At 39.6% G+C, this 18,491-nt stretch overlaps 1 protein-coding gene across 3 annotated transcripts in view, besides 1 other annotated feature; it reads left to right on the top strand.

Annotated features, from left to right (window-relative positions):
- Positions 1-18,491, top strand: part of TRPC5 (transient receptor potential cation channel subfamily C member 5) — a 314,766-nt gene that overhangs the window by 206,730 nt on the left and 89,545 nt on the right. The gene's annotated exons all lie outside the window — the stretch shown is intronic.
- Positions 7,198-7,247: a silencer, noted in NCBI's record as "silent region_20944". NCBI's record gives its function as "represses an Ori minimal core promoter by ATAC-STARR-seq in GM12878 lymphoblastoid cells {active_cell/tissue: GM12878}" and the evidence as "EXISTENCE:reporter gene assay evidence [ECO:0000049][PMID:35858748]".

Genomic DNA, 18,491 nt, shown 5'->3' with positions numbered 1-18,491 from the left:
TTTTTTTTTTTCTCCCTAGCTTAATAGGACATTGAAACATTGTTGTGTTTCATTTATCTCCCAAAGACCTTGCCTCTGAAATTCATTATCCTTTCATTTTAGGTACTTCCCAGTCAGAAACACACATGCACACACACACACACCACAAACAAAAACACATCCCTTCTTTGTTTAATAGCACTAACACCCTCCCTCTCCCTCAACCTGGGAGATGTGAACAGCCATGGTTGCTACCCTAAAGGAGTTGAGGATCTAATCAGAGGCATCAACCAAGCCCAACTAAGAACAAAGAAGTATATCTGACAGTCATTATTTTTTTCTACAGTTGCTGCAGGAACTAGGAGAATGGGGAGGTCAGCATAAACTGCAATCTTTAAGAAAACATCACATTAATCAAAGAATGGAATCAGAGTCCATTGAAGTGCAACACAAGGGAAGGATTTTGAAGACACCAAAAAAAAAAAAAAAAAAAAAGAAAGAAAAAAGAAAAACATCACAGAACTGGGGACTTTCTTCCTGGGCCCTACACATACACACTTCATTGTGGTCATATATGGTTCTGGCTTAAAGCTTTTAATGGCTTATACTAGAGTGAATCCCCTGCTGTCAGTCCCCCTCCAGGCCAAAACCACCCTGTTCACTGCCCTGTCCTGCTAATCCTCATACTTCTACCTCTGGCCCTAAACTTCAGTCTTTTCTTCAACAACTCAAGGCACTAGAAATGTCATCAAGAATAAGAAACAGACAAATACAGGTATTTGGTATTTAAGTGAACATTCACTATGTGCCAGGCACACAGCCACATTCTATCTGTTCTCATTACTACTCCAAGTAATTTAACTACCATTTTTAAGAGTTTACTATGTGCCAGGCAACCAGAACTGTGCTAAGAACCTTTCATGAATAGTAGCTCATTTAATCCTCATAGCTACCCTATCAGCAGTATTATTATTCTCATTTTACAGAGGAGGATACAGAGGCACAGAGAAGTAAAAGAACTTGTCCAAAGGCATACTATTAATAAATGGCAAAGCCAGAGTCGGACCTCATGTCTGTCTTACTCCAATGCCTACATACCAGAGACTATGTAGTATTATGGTTACAGCAGGGCCCAGAACTCTTTCTATAGAGGGCCCATAGCAAATATTTTAGACACTGTTGACCTTATGGTCTCTGTTGTAATTACTCAACTCTGCATAAAAGCAACCACAGGTAATACATAAACAAATGAATGTGGCTGTATTCCTATAAAACTTCATTTACAAAAGCAGGCAATGGGCTAGATTTAGCCCAGAGGCTATAGTTTGATCACCTCAAGTTAGAGCACTAGTGGTGTACTCAGATAGACCTGGGTTCAAAACCTGGCTCTCACCACTTACTAGACAAAACATTTAGTCTCTCTGTGTCTCAGTTTCTTCAGCGGTAGAACAGCAACAATACCACCCTCATAGAGTCATCATGAGGATTAAGGATTAAAGGCATGTCTGGCACATAGTCAACTTCTCAGACAGTCATTTTATTAAAAGCCCACCACATGCTGGTCCCTAGAAGGAAGGAGAAAGGACATGGATTAGAATAATTACAACTCTCTTTAAAATCAAGCTACCAGGGCCCCTACGGTCTTGATACTCCACAGAAATAATTACTCTCTCGGGATTCCAGCTAATTTGATTCTCCCTTCAGCTACATGAACTGTGTTCTCTTGTGAGTTTAGTTTCCTGTTGCAGTCATTAGCAAGAAAGTCTCTTGACTTCATTATAGCTTTTGTCAGGCACTGGGAACCCTATCATGGTAGAACAGGAATCTGATTTTGTTATTATCTGTTAGGTGTTCCCTTCAGGAATGAGATTCTCACCACTGAAGTCATGCCTGTGTCCCAAGTACTTGGCATGGGGCCTGGCACAGAGTAGGTGCTCAGTGAATGTTGCTGGCTTAATTGAGCTGGCTACATTTGGGGTGGTCTTACCTGGAAACAGATGGAAAATGACTTCTTAAAAGCCATCCGAGCATTGAGGATCCTTCCTTTCTCTACCAGAGAAAGACAGAATGTGTGGTGAGGGCAAGAAAGGTGTAGGAGTGTGGTGGATGGTTGCAGGGGCAGGGAAGAACAGGACACACTGTTCCTGGTTACATTAAGCACACAGGAGCCAAGATGCATTCATGTCTTTAGGCCATGTTCCTGAATAATCACCTGGTAAAAGCCATTTTGAGCAAGTTTTTTTTTTGCTTTTTTATTTCAAATTTTTTTTATTTATTTATTTGGAGACGAAATTTTGCTCTTGTTGCCCAGGCTGCAGCGCAATGGTGCGATCTCGGCTCACTGCAACCTCCGCCTCCTGGGTTCAAGCAATTCTCCTGTCTCAGCCTCCCTAGTAGCTGGGATTACAGGCACTCACCACCACACCCAGCTAATGTTTTGTATTTTTAGTAGAGACGGGGTTTCACTATGTTGGCCAGGCTGCTCTCAAACTCCTGACCTCAGGTAATCCACCCGCGTTAGCCTCCCAAAGTGCTGGGATTACAGACATGAGCCATCACACCCAGCTTCAAATTTTATTAAAGGGCACACGTGTAGGTTTGTTACATGGGTAAATTGCTCAGTGCTGAGGCTAGGGGTCTCAATGATCCCATCACCCAGGCAGTAAACATAATACCCAACAGGTGGTCCTTCAGCCTAAGCCCCCATTTCTCCCCTATCTAGTGATTCCCAGTGTCTATTGTTCCCATCTTTACATTAATGTGTATTCGATGTTTAGCTCCCACTCATAAGTGAGAACATGTGGTATTTGGTTTTCTGTTCCTGCGTTAGTTTGCTTAGGAATTACCTCCAGCTCCATCCATGTTGCTGCAGAGGACATTTCATTCATCTTTATGGCAAAGTATTTTATGGTGTCTATGTATCACATTTTCTTTATCCAATCCACTGCTGATGGGCACTTGGGTTGATTCCATGTCTTTGCTATTGTGAACAGCACTGCAATTAATATGCAGGTATAGGTATCTTTTTGATAGAATGAATTATTTTCCTTTGGGTATACACCCAGTAGTGGGATTGCTTGGTCAAATGGTAGCTCTATTTTATGTTCTTTAAGAAATCTCCAAACTGCTTTCCACAGTGGCTGAACTAATTTGTATTCCCACCAATAGTGTGTGTCTTCACTTCTCTCCACAGCCTCACCAACATCTGTTGCTTTTTGACTTTTTAATAATCGCCATTCTGACTGGTATGAGATGGTATTTCATTGTGGCTTTGATTTGCATTTCTCTGATGATTAGTGATGTTGAGCATTTTTTTTTCATATGTTTATTGGCCACTTGTATGTTTTCTTTTGAGAAGTGTCTGTTCATGTCCTCTGAAGGTAAGCTTTTTGCTTTGAATCAAAACCATGCTTAGGCAATCTTCCATCTCAGCTTTGAAAAATACCCTAAGATACCTCAACTTGTCAGTCAGCCCTGAAAAAGCCATACCTCCTGCAATCCTGACTTGCCAATCTTTCTCAATGAAAAATTCTCTCTTTTATCTACCAAGTTGTCTCCAACCCTCTAAAATGTGTCTTGTATAACAATTCAGTTTGTTCACTCTGGAATTTGTTAGACTTATTTGTAGGATCTGACTATACAATGAGGACCATACTGACTGCAATTGGATGTATTTCTCCAACACGTTATTCCTCCCCTACCTCACCATCCCTACCGCCTACTACCACCACTATCAGTCTCCTTTCCAGAATTCTAAGCCAGTAATTGGCATGACAGAACATACCCTCAAAACATTCAGAGGAACAAATAATGGAAACAGTGCTGATGCATGCAAACTCTGTCTAGGCATGAACTAGGTATTCTAGTTCATTCTGTGTTGCTAATAAAAAATAGCTGAGACTGGGTTATTTATAAAGAATAGAGGTTTATTTAGCTCACAGTTCTGCAGGCTGAGAAGTTCAAGGGCATGGCCCTGGTTTCTGGAGAGGGCATTTGTGCTGTGTCACAACATGGCAGAGAAGGTCAAAGTCAAAGCAGACAGGTGTGAGGAAAGGAAAGCCTGAGGGGCATCCTGGCCTTATCACAACTCACTTTCAAGGAAACAAATCCATCCCTGCGAGAACTAATACAGTCTTACAGGAATGAGAACTCACTCCTGCAAGAACAGCCATTCATAAGGGATTACACCCTCATGACCCAAACACCTTTCACTAGGCCCTACCTCCCAATACCACCACACTGGGGATCAAATTCAAAATTAGTTTTAGTGGGGACAAACAAACCATGCCCAAACCATAGCACATAGAGTGTGTCAAATCACATATACAGTCACTTCAAGACTACATATCCAGAAGTGACAATTCTACATCTCGTAAGTCATAATGATGAAAAGAACTAACATTTATTGAGTGCTTTCTTGTTTAGTTCCTATAGTAATCCATCATGAAAAATAATAACACTGGCTTCCTAGTTGCCAGGCATTTAATTAACTCTCTTAATCCTCATAATGACCTCATGCCATGAGTTACTATTGTAATCCTCATTTTGCCGATGAGGAAACTGAGGGCTGGAGAGGTTAAGTAACTTGCCCAAGGTAATCCAGCCAGGGAGTGGTGGGGCTGGAATGTGAACCCCAGGTCAGTCTGTCTGACTGCAGAGACCAATCTCCTAACCCTACCACACTACCTTATTAGAAACATCTTTGAGCATGCAGCCCACATTATCCTGTTATGATAAAAAAAAAAATGCATGAAAATGCCTGCTTCCATCTATTTGGTGTTGAGAATGTTTCAAAGCACTTTCCCATCCCTGATGCATTTGATCTTCACAACAGTCCTGTGAGGAAGACAGGCATAGGCAACACCACCATTACATAGATAAAGACCAAACACAAAAGCTTGCCCCAAGTCCCACTCCACAAATGAGAGACCAAGCCAGAGTCAGAGTTCAATGTACAGTATACATTTTCAAAATGTGTTCTTTGGTATAGCTAGGGATTAAGTCTCCTCCACCTCCTTCATTCTGATTTCATCCTGAAGATTTGAAAGGAAGTGGGCAGCCCACAGCAGGTCATTAAACCCTCCAGCCAAGCTTTCCTATAAATGTAAAAACTACTTGAGTATACCTCACTTTGTCTTCCACATACCCCAACCCTTCAGGATCTGCAGTACCTGACCACATCCTGTGTCTTGAAAGAAAAAAAATGAGGGACCTTGACCCTTAAAAACTGGACACACTGAAGGTATGAACATATCTCATTGTGGATTTCTCACTTTAAAAACATTTATTGGACAATTACAGGTCCAAAATTCCAAAACCCACCTGGCAGGTGAGCAATACTCACCTGGCAGGGGAGATATCATGATCACCAAGCCCACCAAGTTCTGAAAACCAAAGTTTTTAAAAATAAATTCCCTATCAAACCTCTCATATGGCAGCAAAACCTGACATGCACTGATGGGAGGCAATTTATGGTGTTTATTTATCCCATTGCATCTAAGCATGCCCAGGTTTCACTGCTGAAAATTTATTGTGTTTGATTATAGTAGGGTTGCCAGATAAAACATAGGACATAGTTAAATTTAAATTTCAGATAAATAATGAATAATGTTTTTGTATAAGCATGTCCCAAAATTATAAGGGGCATTTAGTTATACTAAAACATTTTTGCTGTTTAGCTGAAATTCAAATTTAATTGGGCATCCTGTATTTTTATTTGCTAAATTTTGGAACTCTAATTATGGGTGCTGCCTGAAACCTCACTGGGAGTGTTATCTAATATATGGCATAGACAGCATATTACTGTTCTAAAATCTGACAAATTTAGAATTCCAAAACAAATCTGTCCCCAAGAGTTTTGTAAAAGGGATTGTGGACCACTGGACCTATAGCATCCTCCCAGCACTGGGCTTGGTACTTCATGGGGACTCAGCTCCCAAAGAGCAACAACCTCTCAAAGAATTATCCCATCACAATGCCTTGCCTCTTGAGCTTTCATTAGATTTCCCCTCTGCTGTCTTTCATAGGTCATTAGCATGCTTTCTGCTTTGATATATTTATTCTTCAAGGTATTTCCCCTCTAGTGTCCTGATTTAAACTAGTAGGACTGCAACCCACAGCTGACCTAACCACACTTTCTATGATTTCTTACTTGGCTTTAGTGAGTTTCCAGCCTCTCCTGTTCAATTGCTCTGACATGCTATGTCACTTTCTTCCTTCCTGGTAAGAAGCTTTCCAACACAGACTCCCCTTTACTTCCAGAACTCTCCTCTGTAGTAGGCAGTGAGCTCCTACCACCCTCTGCTGCCATCTCATGGCTAGGATAAGCCATTGCATTAGTCTTAATTCTGTTGCACTAGTTCTTTTTAGAGTCCATCACCGCCAACACAGAATTATAACATCTGCCAGGAAACCCCATTGGGCTAATTCTGACTGCTGTATGCACTTGCAAATGGAAAATTATACTTTAAAAAAATATGCGTTCTAAAACAGTTTTCAACCTCCTCCTTCAACCTAGCCTCACCTTCCTCCATTTAGTTCTAAGTAGTGAGGCTTAGCCCTAGTTTGAAATGAAAGATAGGGCTTCCAGTTGACTGATTTTGTGAGTCTGCACCTGTGTTGCCATTGATATTGGCAGCCCAGCTTGGGAACTAAGTCTGCTAGCTAATTGCAACAACAGAGCCAGCTTAGAACAAAATGTCTCAGTAATCCTTGGGTAAGAACATATCTTCTTTTTAAAAAATAAAACTAGCCATGGATTAGTGATCTGAGTGATTAAATATTAAACTGTGCTAGACAGAGAGTACATGTAAAAGGTAGGGGCTATTTCCAATCATTATCTGGACCTAAACTTTTGTCAAAACCTATTTCTTGATCTCAAATGTCTGCTGCAGTGGTTTACAAAAAAAAAAAAAAAATGCTGCACTGCTTAATGAAAGTATGACTCAGCAAGCTCACTACAATGGTGAGGGAAGAAAGGTGCTTGAACATTTCTTCCTCTTCGGGAACTTTTGCATTGCCACTGATTTCCCCTTTTGGGCGTTTTTCTCCTCTTCAGAGCCCAGCTTGATTGGCAACTAAAAACAAAACTCATTCTCTTGAGGGTCATTCCTGTAGAGGCGGGTTTTTAAACACATCCTTAACACACAACCGGACTATCTTCTGAAGAACTGAAATCTAACACAGTACACATTGGGCCCATTTCTATGTGCAGCCATTCACTGAAGGGAGTAGGATGCAGTTCTTAAAAGATCAGTAGACTTTTTCAAACCTCCCAGAAAGGCCCTTACCTCAGATCTTACTATAGCCAGTAACTGCTGTTTCTTCCTGATCCTCACCTTCTCCTCTGGTATAGGGGACGACTCATTCTCACCCTTCAAATTTTCTTTTCCTCTAAATGGACTAAAGGAAGAAGTGTTTACAGCTGTAAGTCTCCCAGCTCAAAGTCAGCTGATTTCTTTTAGGAAACATGGGAACATAACTCATTGCCAATTACTTTAGAGAACCACAGACCTATACTGCTTTATAAACCTCTGAATATTAAACATGTGTCAAGGTGACTTTTCTTTCAGTCTCACCTATTGCACTTTTTTGTACACACCTAAAAACTTAAAATAATCTGAAAATAACCAGTTAGGTGACTTAACTGTGAAACTGACTTGTTTTTATCCTAATGCTTTTCTTGCTGATAGCTTTCCCAGCAGGGAACAGGGTGGACTGAGCAGGGTAACAAAGATATTTCTCCTCTGACCATTGTCCATTCCTAATGGAGCCACTGGAAGCTTACTGCTGTGGCTTTTCTCTACCTCACAGCCTGGCTTATTTCTCAAAAGCCCATCCCCACGACCAGATCCTCTGCTTCTATGAGGGGACTTTCCCTTTTTTTTCATTGCCTCCTCAAGGAGTGGTGACTCAATTAATTATCAGGGAGGTCTATCTGTACCTCATTATTCTTAAATGAGCACTTAAGTACAATGTTTGACATCCAGTAGTCACTCAAATGTTAGATGTTGTTATTATTACTATTTAACCTCTCTGAGCCTCAGTTTTCTCATCTGTAAAATGGATGTAATAATAGTACAAACTTCCTAGGTTTGTTAATACATATAAACTGCTTTTAAAAGTATCCAAAACTTAGAAGGTTCTGTGTACATTTTATCTATGACTATTAAAACTTCTATTAGAGAAATAATTTAAGGACATATAGACTGCAAGGTGAAAAGAGAAACGTGTGTGTGGGTTTGGGGATGCTACGGCGGGGAAGAGTTGTGTGTGGATTATGTGTTTGAAATATGTTTTAGCGGCCGAAGAGAAATGCCCACTAGGCGTTAAACATTCAGGTGTAAATTTTAGCAGGGACGGAATGAAGAATTTTTTCACTTTAACAAAAACAGTAAATGCCTGCAAAGACCTTTGGGGGTAAGAAATGACATATATAGAAGTGTTCCTCCACTTCCTAAGCTTACCGTCTACTAAGAAGGCTGAGTCACTGATTCTACATAGAAGTACATGTAACACAAGGTAGGCTCTGAGAGGTACCACAGGGAAAAAGCAAAGTGGTATGAGCTCAAGGAGAGAGGTCACACCTCTGGCTGAAGCAATCAGGGAGGGCTTCCAGAAGGAAGTGATTTTCTGATTTCATTATTCACCGCAGCCTTTTCTTAGGACTCTAGTGCCTGCTGATTTTTTCCATCTCTGAATGCTCTAAGATCCCAAAGTGTGGTGCCTCATGACAAAGCAGTGAGCTTTTCCTAAAGCTAAATAGATCCAGATTGAATGACTGTCCTTTATTCTGTCCTTTCTTTTATAAAATGGTGGTAACAGGAGATCAAAGGGGTGTGGGCTTTTCTCATGTCCTTACTTGGCAAAACAATCTCCTGATTTGGAGAGGAGTGGCCTTAATCAGTCTGTGAGAGCCAACCATCTGGGAACCTGACATGTTTACCATCTGTACCATTTATGTGGGCGTCTGAACACAAACATTATTGTCCTGTTACTTGTTTCGCATGAGTTAGGCTAGTATCCCTTCAAAAGAGCTCCTGCAGGCCAGAATCATGGCTGGTCTCTCTTGCGATGACCCTCTCCCACAGGCCACACGGAGCTGGGCACAGAGCAGGTACTCCAAAATACTTGTTGAAAGGCCTAAACTGAATCACATTAATCTTGCACTTCCCTTGCAGTAAGCAAGTCAAATTCTATTCTGCCTTGAGTTAAGCATGTGAATCAGGCATTAAATCCTATTGATCCTTTAGACAGCTGTAGAAACAAAAGTCACATACAGTAGACTGGTGAGGGGCTGGGAAGATAATTCTCTTCACTGAATGAAAAAATTCAGAACTCTGCTGCAGTGAAATCAAAGCTATTTTGCTAGTTTTCTGGCAGAGGGGTGGTCTCTTTCCAGTAGAACCTGACATTTTTCCTATCAAGAAATATTCCTAGGAGGGGCCAAGAGCCATTGGGCCCCTCCATTGACAACACAGCTTTATGTCAAAGAAAGCCAGGGCTTTTCCAAAAGTTGTGTGCAGTAAGGAAAAAATACAATAATGTTCAGCCCTTGTCTGGGAGTATTGCAGAACTGAAGCACTGAAGAGGGAAAACAATCAACAACTGCAGTGAGGATCCTAGCTCATTTGTGAAGAAAAGATTTAGACAGATTAAACAGGGGGATTCCATACAGATCTGGCCTGGGGCGGGCCCCATCACTTCTGGGCTTTGCTAGCCTTCAGGCCCCTTAACTGGCTAATATGATATACCCACTTTAAGCTGTTAAGGTAGTTGATAGTTTTGTATATTACCACTTCCTACAAACATGAATATAGTTTCAATGCTTTAATCCAAAGAAATAAATTATGTGGGCATTTCAATCACTGGCCGCAAGGCCAATGGGGAAGATACTGGGAAATTTAGCTTTCTGCATGCCTCTGATCATACCATCCATGGATTGTCAGAGAGTGCAGTGTTTGAAAGCTTGGTCTATGGAATCAACCAAGCTAGTTCCCCAGTCCTGGCTCCACCATTTACCAAGAAATGTGACCTTGGGCTCTGTCCTATCAGCTGTAAAATGATATAATTCTATATCTGCCATTAGCGTTGCTGTGAGATGATGCATATAAAAAATCCAGCACAGTTGCTGGCACATTATAAGAGCTCAATCTTTGATATGTAATCTTCCAATGTTAAGAGTAGTTCCTAGTTGCAACTCCCAGGAGACTTGTGTTAGCTACTGGACTCCTTTCACACACTAAGGAAGGAAGAATTTGGAAAGAGAGTATTCCACCAAGATTTATCCAGCACAGAGCTATTTATTCAATCACTCATTCATCAAATATCTATTCAGCATTCATCTTGTACCAGGCATTTTGCAAAATGTTGGGAATATAATAAAGAATAAGACAAGCTCCCAGTCCTTGACCAACACTCAGTCTTATAGCTTTTAAGAAGCTGGCCGGGCACGGTGGCTCACTCCTGTAATCCCAGCACTTTGGGAGGCCAAGGTGGGCAGATCACGAGGGCAAGAGATCAAGACCATCCTGGCCAACATGGTGAAACCCTGTCTCTACTAAAAATACAAAAAATTAGCCAGGCGTGGTGGTGTGCGCCTGTAGTCCCAGCTACTCAGGAGGCTGAGGCAGGAGAATTGCTTGAACCTGGGAGGCTGAGGTTGCAGTGAACAGATATCACACCACTGCACTCTAGCCTGGCGACAGAATGAGACTCCGTCAAAAAAAAAAAAAAAGAAGCTGCTAGAGGCCGGGCACAGTGACTCATGCCAGTAATCTCAGCACTTTGGGAGATCTAGGTGAATGGATTGCTTGAGCCCAGGAGTTCAAGACCAGGCTGGGGGGGGTAACATGGCAAAACTCCCTCTCTACTAAAAACACAAAAATTACCTGGGTGTGGTGGCACGCACCTGTAATCCCAGCTACTCGGGAAGCTGAGGCATGAGAATTGCTTGAGCCAGGGAGGCGGAGATTGCAGTGAGCTAGGGAGGTGGAGATTGCAGTGAGCTGAGATCATGCCAGTACACTCCAGACAGAGCGGTACTCTGTCTCAAAAAGAGAAAAAAAAGAAGAAGCTGCTATATTCCTTAAACTTTTTAAGCCCCTGAGGAAGGGAATTCGTTGGGCAAGGACTATCATTTGCACTAACCCACACACAAATAGAACAACATAACTTCCCATGAAAAGTTAAAAAGTTACAAGGGAAAGCACTTCCAGAATGGCAGAGTTCTGAAAATCTACCCTTCCACAAAAGCTACAAGACGTTGAAAATTTTTTTAAATTAACTTTCACAATTCCGGAAATTAAGCAAAAGTTTACAACGATCAGAGGAGCATTTACTCAAGTAAAACAGCCAAGTTTTCGAAGAAAAGCAAGTTTTGTGGTATTTTAATTTGCCCAATTCCCATCTTCCTTTCCCCAGCTCAACAGCAGCTTTGAAAACCAACAGCCTTGGAACCATGGTAGCTGTAAAAAGCAGCAGCCTGGCACCCACTGAAGGGGAGCAAACTGGGTTTGGAGCACCCCAAATAGACCCATCCCCAGAGAACTGTCATTATCTGTCAGTCAACTTCGTTAAGAAGCCCAATTCCCAGGACTGGTCTTCATGTGATCTGACTCAGTACCAATAGTTCTTTTCCTGGGGGCATTTGTTTAAAAAAATCAGCAACAGTTGTTTAATATGAAGGCTGCCTGAGGCAGTAGATAACAATTGGGTCAAATAATAGGCTAAAGAAAAAGCAATCTAAATCCAGCAACATAGAAAACGAATTAGACACTATGGGCCAGGTGTGGTGGCTCACGCCTGTAATCCCAGCACTTTGGGAGGTGGAGGCCTGCGGATCAGGAGGTCAGGAGATCGAGACCATCCTGGCTAACATGGTGAAACCCCATCTCTACTAAAAATACAAAAAAAAATAGCCGGGTGTGGTGGCAGGCACCTGTACTCCCAGCTACTCGGGAGGCTGAGGCAGGAGAATGGCGTGAACCTGGGAGGCGGAGCTTGCAGTGAGCTGAGATCGCGCCACTGCACTCCAGCCTGGGCAACAGAGCAAGACTCCATCTCAAAAAAAATAATAAAAAAGAATTAAACACTATGACTGAGTAGAATTTATCCCAGGAATATGAGGGTGATTCAACATAACAAAAATCAGTTAATGTAATACATTACATTAATGAAAGGAAAGACAAAACCATGCATGATCATTTCATTTGACACAGAAGAAGCATTTTTCAAAATTCAACAAACTTACATGATAAAAACACATGGAAAACTGTGAATTGAAGAGAATTTCTTCAGCCTGATAAAGGCCATCTATTAAAAACCCATAGCTGACATCACACTTAATAGGAAACTTGAAAGCTTTTCTTCTAACATCAGGAAAAAGACAGGGATGTCCACTGACAGCACTTCTATTCATCATCATACTGAAGATTCTAGCCAGGTCAATTAGGTAAGAAAAAGAAATAATAGGCTTCCAGTTTGGAAAGGAAGAATTAAAATTGTCTCTATTCACTGATGACATGGACCTTGTACAGAGAAAATCCTAAGGTATCAACAACAAAAATTATTAGGGCTGATAAATGAGTTGGGCAAGGTTGCAAGATAACATACAAAATCAATCATGTTTTGTTCAACAAAAATTATGGAAGGCCATTGTTTTGGACTGAGCTCCCATACTAGGCCCCAACAGACCAGACCAAACCAAAATGGAATCACCTGCTAAATGCCATATAATCAAACTAAAACTTTAAGAAAGCAGGTACATCCCCAAACAGACCAGTTTTTCCTGAAAATAGGAGATTCTACTCCACCTGAGTCCATGTAATATGGAAGATGCCTCTGTTTTAACCCTTGCCAAAAAAAGTAACCTGATGTTAACCGATTTTTTTTCCCCTATGTTCTCTTTCCTTTTTCCCACCTTACAAAACCCACTGTTCTGCTATTGCCTAGTAGAATGGAATGTCTCATTCTATTTTGTAGAATGGAGGCTTCCCTGATTCATACATCATGAAAAAAGCCAATTAGATCTATAACTAAATTTGTTGAGATTTTGTCTTTTGACAGTTTCTATACACTAGCAATGAACAATCCAAAAATGAAATTAAGAAAACAATTCCATTTACAGTAGCATTAAAAACAATTAAATACTTAGGAATAAATTGAACAAAAGAAGTGTAAGACTTGTACACTGAAAAAAACCAGAAAACACTGTTCAAAGAAACTAAAGAAGATCTACGTAAGTGGAAAGATATTCCATGTTCGTGGACTAGAGACTTCATATTGTTAAAATGGTAACATTCTCCAAATTTTTCTTACCTTTATGGTTAATTGACTTTCAACAAGGGTGTCAAAACAATATAATGGGGAAATAGTAGTGTTTTCAAAAAATAGTGCCGGGACAAATGGATATCCACATGCAAACGAATGCAATTGGGCCTCTACCTCACAAAATATGCAAACGGATTAAATACCTAAATATAAAAGCTAAAGCTATCAAACTCTGAGAAGAAAACAATGGTGTGAGTCTTTGTGACCTTGGATTGGGCAATGATTTCTTAGATATGACAACAGTAAGTCTGTCAGATTAGTATCTATGTAGCTTCAGTCAAATCTAACCATGGATTCCAGTTATTATACTATATAACCCTATAAAATACATAGAAGTATTATTACTTTGCCTTTATAACAAAACCCAAGAGTCTGTTTCAATTTATAATTTCAGCATTTAAGCGAAGAGATTTTAGTTCCCAAAGTTGGGGAAAATAAAAAAACAATAAGGGAAGAAAGAATCAGGCCTTGGTGCCATATATTTTTCTCTTGAGGTTGTAAGGCAGAGTATCCTTCTTTCCAGAACACTTTATTATATTTCACTTACAGACCTAATTTTCTGTGTCAAAGTATAATTCCCATGCCGAAGCTCTAACCTAAAAATGCAAAAAAAGTTGTCTTCATTGTACAAACATATCCATCACTTTAACGAGATAATAAGGGAACAAAATTTAGGATTCAAGCTAAGTAAGAATACTGTTTCAATGAACATGTCCCTAAAATAAACCAGCATTAGCAGTTAATTTATGCATCTAGAAAATCTCAGTTCCCACCAGTAAAAATATCCTCAGTGGCTAGTGCACCTTGAAAAAAAATCTGGCGTACTAAATAAATAATGTTCATGTGGGAGCCAGGAGCTGGGTAAGCCTTGCCTTTAGACTACTCTGTGACTATAAAAATAAAGCCAGCACTTTTGGAACTAATAAGGCTTCACTTGTCAGTATCATAAAGAGTATTGCTCAACTAAACTTTGCTCCCACCGGTTCAGTAGTTACTTATTTCTACCTAAGTACTCATCTTCCGATTTTACCCAGGTATTTAAAATCGAAAGAAAAAAGCATTATATTTCAGCGCTACTTTGCCCAAATTACAAAATAAGTCATTATTTTTAGTGTCAAGTCACAAAAAAAAATTAACAGGTTTTACATTAAAGTTAAAAGTTGCTAAAAGTTACCATTATAACGTGTAATTAAAACTGCTAAACATGAATTTGCATGCAAGGTGTATAAAAACACTAAAAATTGTTTTTCTTAAAAATTATAAGAAGGCATAAAAATGTACATTTTGCTTAAAAATAAAAAATTGTCTTAAAATTAAATAAAATAAAGTGGATGGTTTAAGCAAATTATAAAGACACTATAAAAACTAATCCTGCAAATAAAACTCTGTGTAAACACATTAACTAAACTCAAAAGAATATTATATGTCTTTTCTGTAAATTAAACACTAAAATAAAAGCACCACAAAGTTTTCTTAAAATGCTAATCTACTCTTAAGCAAAACTTGTCAAGGGTTATAACAGGTATGTAAAAATCTTACTTCATGGTCAAACTGGTTAAAATTAAACAGAATTATCTATAAGGTTTCATTAAAATTAAGGTTAACATTAATAGCAAACTAACACAAGGGTAAAATTTAACTTTCTCTCTTAAACACAATTTTCATGTAATTGAAAAGGCTAATAAATGGTTTTTGGTTTTCCAGATTGTTATCTCATTTTGGCAAAACAAAACAAAACAAACAAACAGAAAAACAACTTATGATAATCTAAAGTTCTATTTCATAATATCAAGGGTTTTAAATTTTAAACATATTTAACAGCCTTCTCAAAATCAAACTTTACTTTCAAGGTTGTTTTTCCTAACCACTGGCTTTTGGGTGCTGCACAGGACCCCTGAACCATCCAAAAAAGAGGTAAACAGGATTATTTGGCAACATAAAATTGCGAAAATAATGTCTAATACATTATATTTTAGGGAATATTATTAACATATGTTCCAAAACTGTATGGAATGTCTAAGGTTCTTATGTCTGAATATGTGCTATTAATCACAATTAAAGTTGTTATGTTGGGTTATTGTAAGCCACAAAAATAACCAAATTTCTTTGTCAATTGTGTTTCTAACTGTATCCAAACTGGACATTTTGTTATTTACAGACAATTGTTATTTTGTTTTAATTCTCTTCAAAACATTGTTTATATTCAAGCTTTGGAACTTTAACAAATGCTCTCAAATGTAGGTTACTCATAACAACAACAAAACGTACAGAACTCATAAAAAGCTAAAATGTTTATAAACATAAAGCAAAACAAAGGTTAATAAAATAGAATAAACTAATAAAAAAACCAATTTTTACCTTTTACTTAGAACACTGCTAATCTTTATCTCATTTTTCAGAGTCAAGAAAACTTGTCTTAAGCTAGCTACAGCTTTAACAACTAAGTAAAGTATACTCCTGTGAATAGAATTTAAAGCGTGTTTGTTTCTCTCTGCCTAGTTCCTCTAGAATTTAAAAACTGGCTATAAGTAGGCCAGGCGTAGTGGCTCACGCCTGTAATCCCAGCACTTTGGGAGGCCGAGGTGGGCGGATCACGAGGTCAGGAGATTCAGACCATCCTGGCTAACACGGTGAAACCCCGTCTCTACTAAAATACAAAAAAATTAGCCGGTCGTGGTGGCGGGCGCCTGTAGCCCCAGCTACTCGGGAGGCCGAGGCAGGAGAATGGCGTAAACCCAGGAGGCGGAGCTTGCAGTGAGCTGAGATCTCGCCCCTGCACTCCAGCCTGGGCGACAGAGCGAGACTCCGTCTCAAAAAACAAACAAACAAACAAAAAAACTAGTTGTAGGTATTCTTAAATTACAACGATATAGTTGTTTGCATCAATGCAATAAGAATCTATTTTCTTTTCTAACAGAACACAATTAAAAAAAAAAACTGGTTACTTTACCAAGGCTTTTACTGCAATGGTGTGCTCTCCTTTAAGGAATCAAACTTGACTTACGGAACGAATAAAACCCTTGGAAACTGGCCTCATATTTTGTGTACATAGTCCCTGTACAGGATTTCTGATCTGTAGTAAGTAAAGAATGTCACTTTCTGACAGGCCAGGAACCCCAAGTTATCTTAAAACCTTAATAAGAAATGAATTCACCCAACTCATAGGTATTTAATGGTACAAATACATGGCTGGGCTTGGCTTTAACAAGTCTTATCTCAAATTCCTTCTATATAACAGAGTTCCATCAAAGCCGATTTAAAAGGCCTGTGTGGCAAATAATTATTCTTGGTGCATTGTATACAAATAATTAAGCCAAATATAATAAAGCAGACCACTGCTACCATAATTTGTCTTTTAATAAAAATAGGAAACTGAAAAGTAAAAATTATGTTTCAAAAACTATAGCACACCTGTTGTTAAATTCTAGTCTTGCCTAATGTTTTTCAACTTGTATTATCTTCTACAGTTTAAATTATATCCATTACCAAAATCGACCCCTGGATACATCACACTCAAGTCAAAGCCTAAAGAGCTGAGAAAGCAACCTCTAACATCCCTTCTGGGGCTAACAATGAAAACGTCCTAACAATGAAAAAAAAAATTTAAGCTGGAAATCATAAAAGCCAACAGAATCATGGCCATTTCGCAGACAACTATCCAAAAACATCTACAAACGGTGTTGCTCCTGCAGTCAATCCAAGACCAAAAAACTTTCTGCTCCCCCCATCAGCAGGAAGTAGCCAGAAAGAACACGTCGCCCCTTGTCCTTTTATAACTGTAGGGTCTGGAATGACAGAGCAGGACCACCATCATCTCAGACAAACACCGCCACTTTAAGTTCCAGCTGCCTTTCCAGCTTCATGCATTTCAAGGAAATCACTTCTTTTCTAACTACAAGCAGCCAAAAAAGAGCAGACAGTAAAACACAGATAAGAAGGCTGGGGCACAGAGGAAGGCAGGGGAAAGTCTCTTGGGTAACTGCCAAACTTCACCCTCATACAATGGGCTCCAGTAAAACAGTGGCCCTTAATAAGCACATTCCTTTCCCTTCAGGTACACTAAGATAGGGAAGCCAAAAGCAGACTCGAGGGATATTCCTGCAGCTGCACAAAGATGTAGGGGAACAGACACACAACTCTCCCTCCCAGATAAGCACAACAAAGAGACACAGAAGCAGTCCAAGCCTCTGATAACTCTCCCACCCTGAATCCTTAAAAACTCTTAGTCTGTAAGAGATTGCTACTTCTGACCTAACTCAATCAGACGTCCCTCCCAGGTTGGAAGTAAACCTGTTGACTGTCGAGCCGACCTTCTTGTTTCTCCTCTTTCCTTAATTCTTACAACAACAACAAAAACTACAAATTGGACTTCATTAAAATAAAAACCTACTGCTCCAGGCTCTGGACAGTTCGGGTTTTTGTGCAATGAGGCATCTAGTGGGTACGCACTCTGCAGTTTTTCCTGTAATTCTTCTTTCTGAGGCGTTCTTAGAATCGACTAGAGATTGATTAAATAATCTGTCAAATGTGAACTTCACTATGCAAGCAGAATCAGGATTGTGCTTTCAAAGCTCACAAATGTGTTTAGATTAGATACTACATGGTGGCTTAATAAAAATTTCCTTTATCATATTCTAATTGCAGTTTGTTCTGCCAGAATCCACACCACCCTACACTACTTCTGTCAGATATAAAAATAGAAGATAAAAACCTGTCCAACTTTAAAATTGCCCAGCTTGAGCCAAATTGAAAATCAGAGCAGAGGCATTGAAGATAAAGGTTGGATGGTATATCCACCATTAAAAGAAGCTTCACTTCTGCATTTGTGCCTTAGCAGAAAGTGATTTCTGGGGTTGGAGTTTCTGGGAATACATAAGGGGAAGTCACATGAGGTCATCAAGACCATTGCTGAAGAGCTCCAAATGTCTGTTTGGTTCAGGCTGATGCAGTAGCATAGGACAGAGTTTGGCAAACTACAATTTGCTGCCTGTTTGTGTGAATAAAGTTTTATTGGCACACAGCTAAGCCCATTCATGTACATATTGTCTATGGCTGAGTTTGCACTGCAACAGCTGAGTTGGGTAGCTACAACAGTGACAGTGTGGCCTGCAAAGCCACACTATGTGGCCCTTTACAGAAAAATCTGCTAATCCCTGCCACATAACATCAGTATTTGATGTCAA

This window comes from Homo sapiens, chromosome X, assembly GCF_000001405.40.
Source record: "Homo sapiens chromosome X, GRCh38.p14 Primary Assembly".
NCBI lineage: Eukaryota > Metazoa > Chordata > Mammalia > Primates > Hominidae > Homo > Homo sapiens.
The sequence above is the reverse complement of the archived record's forward strand: the minus strand, read 5'-3'. Positions and strand labels throughout refer to the sequence as shown.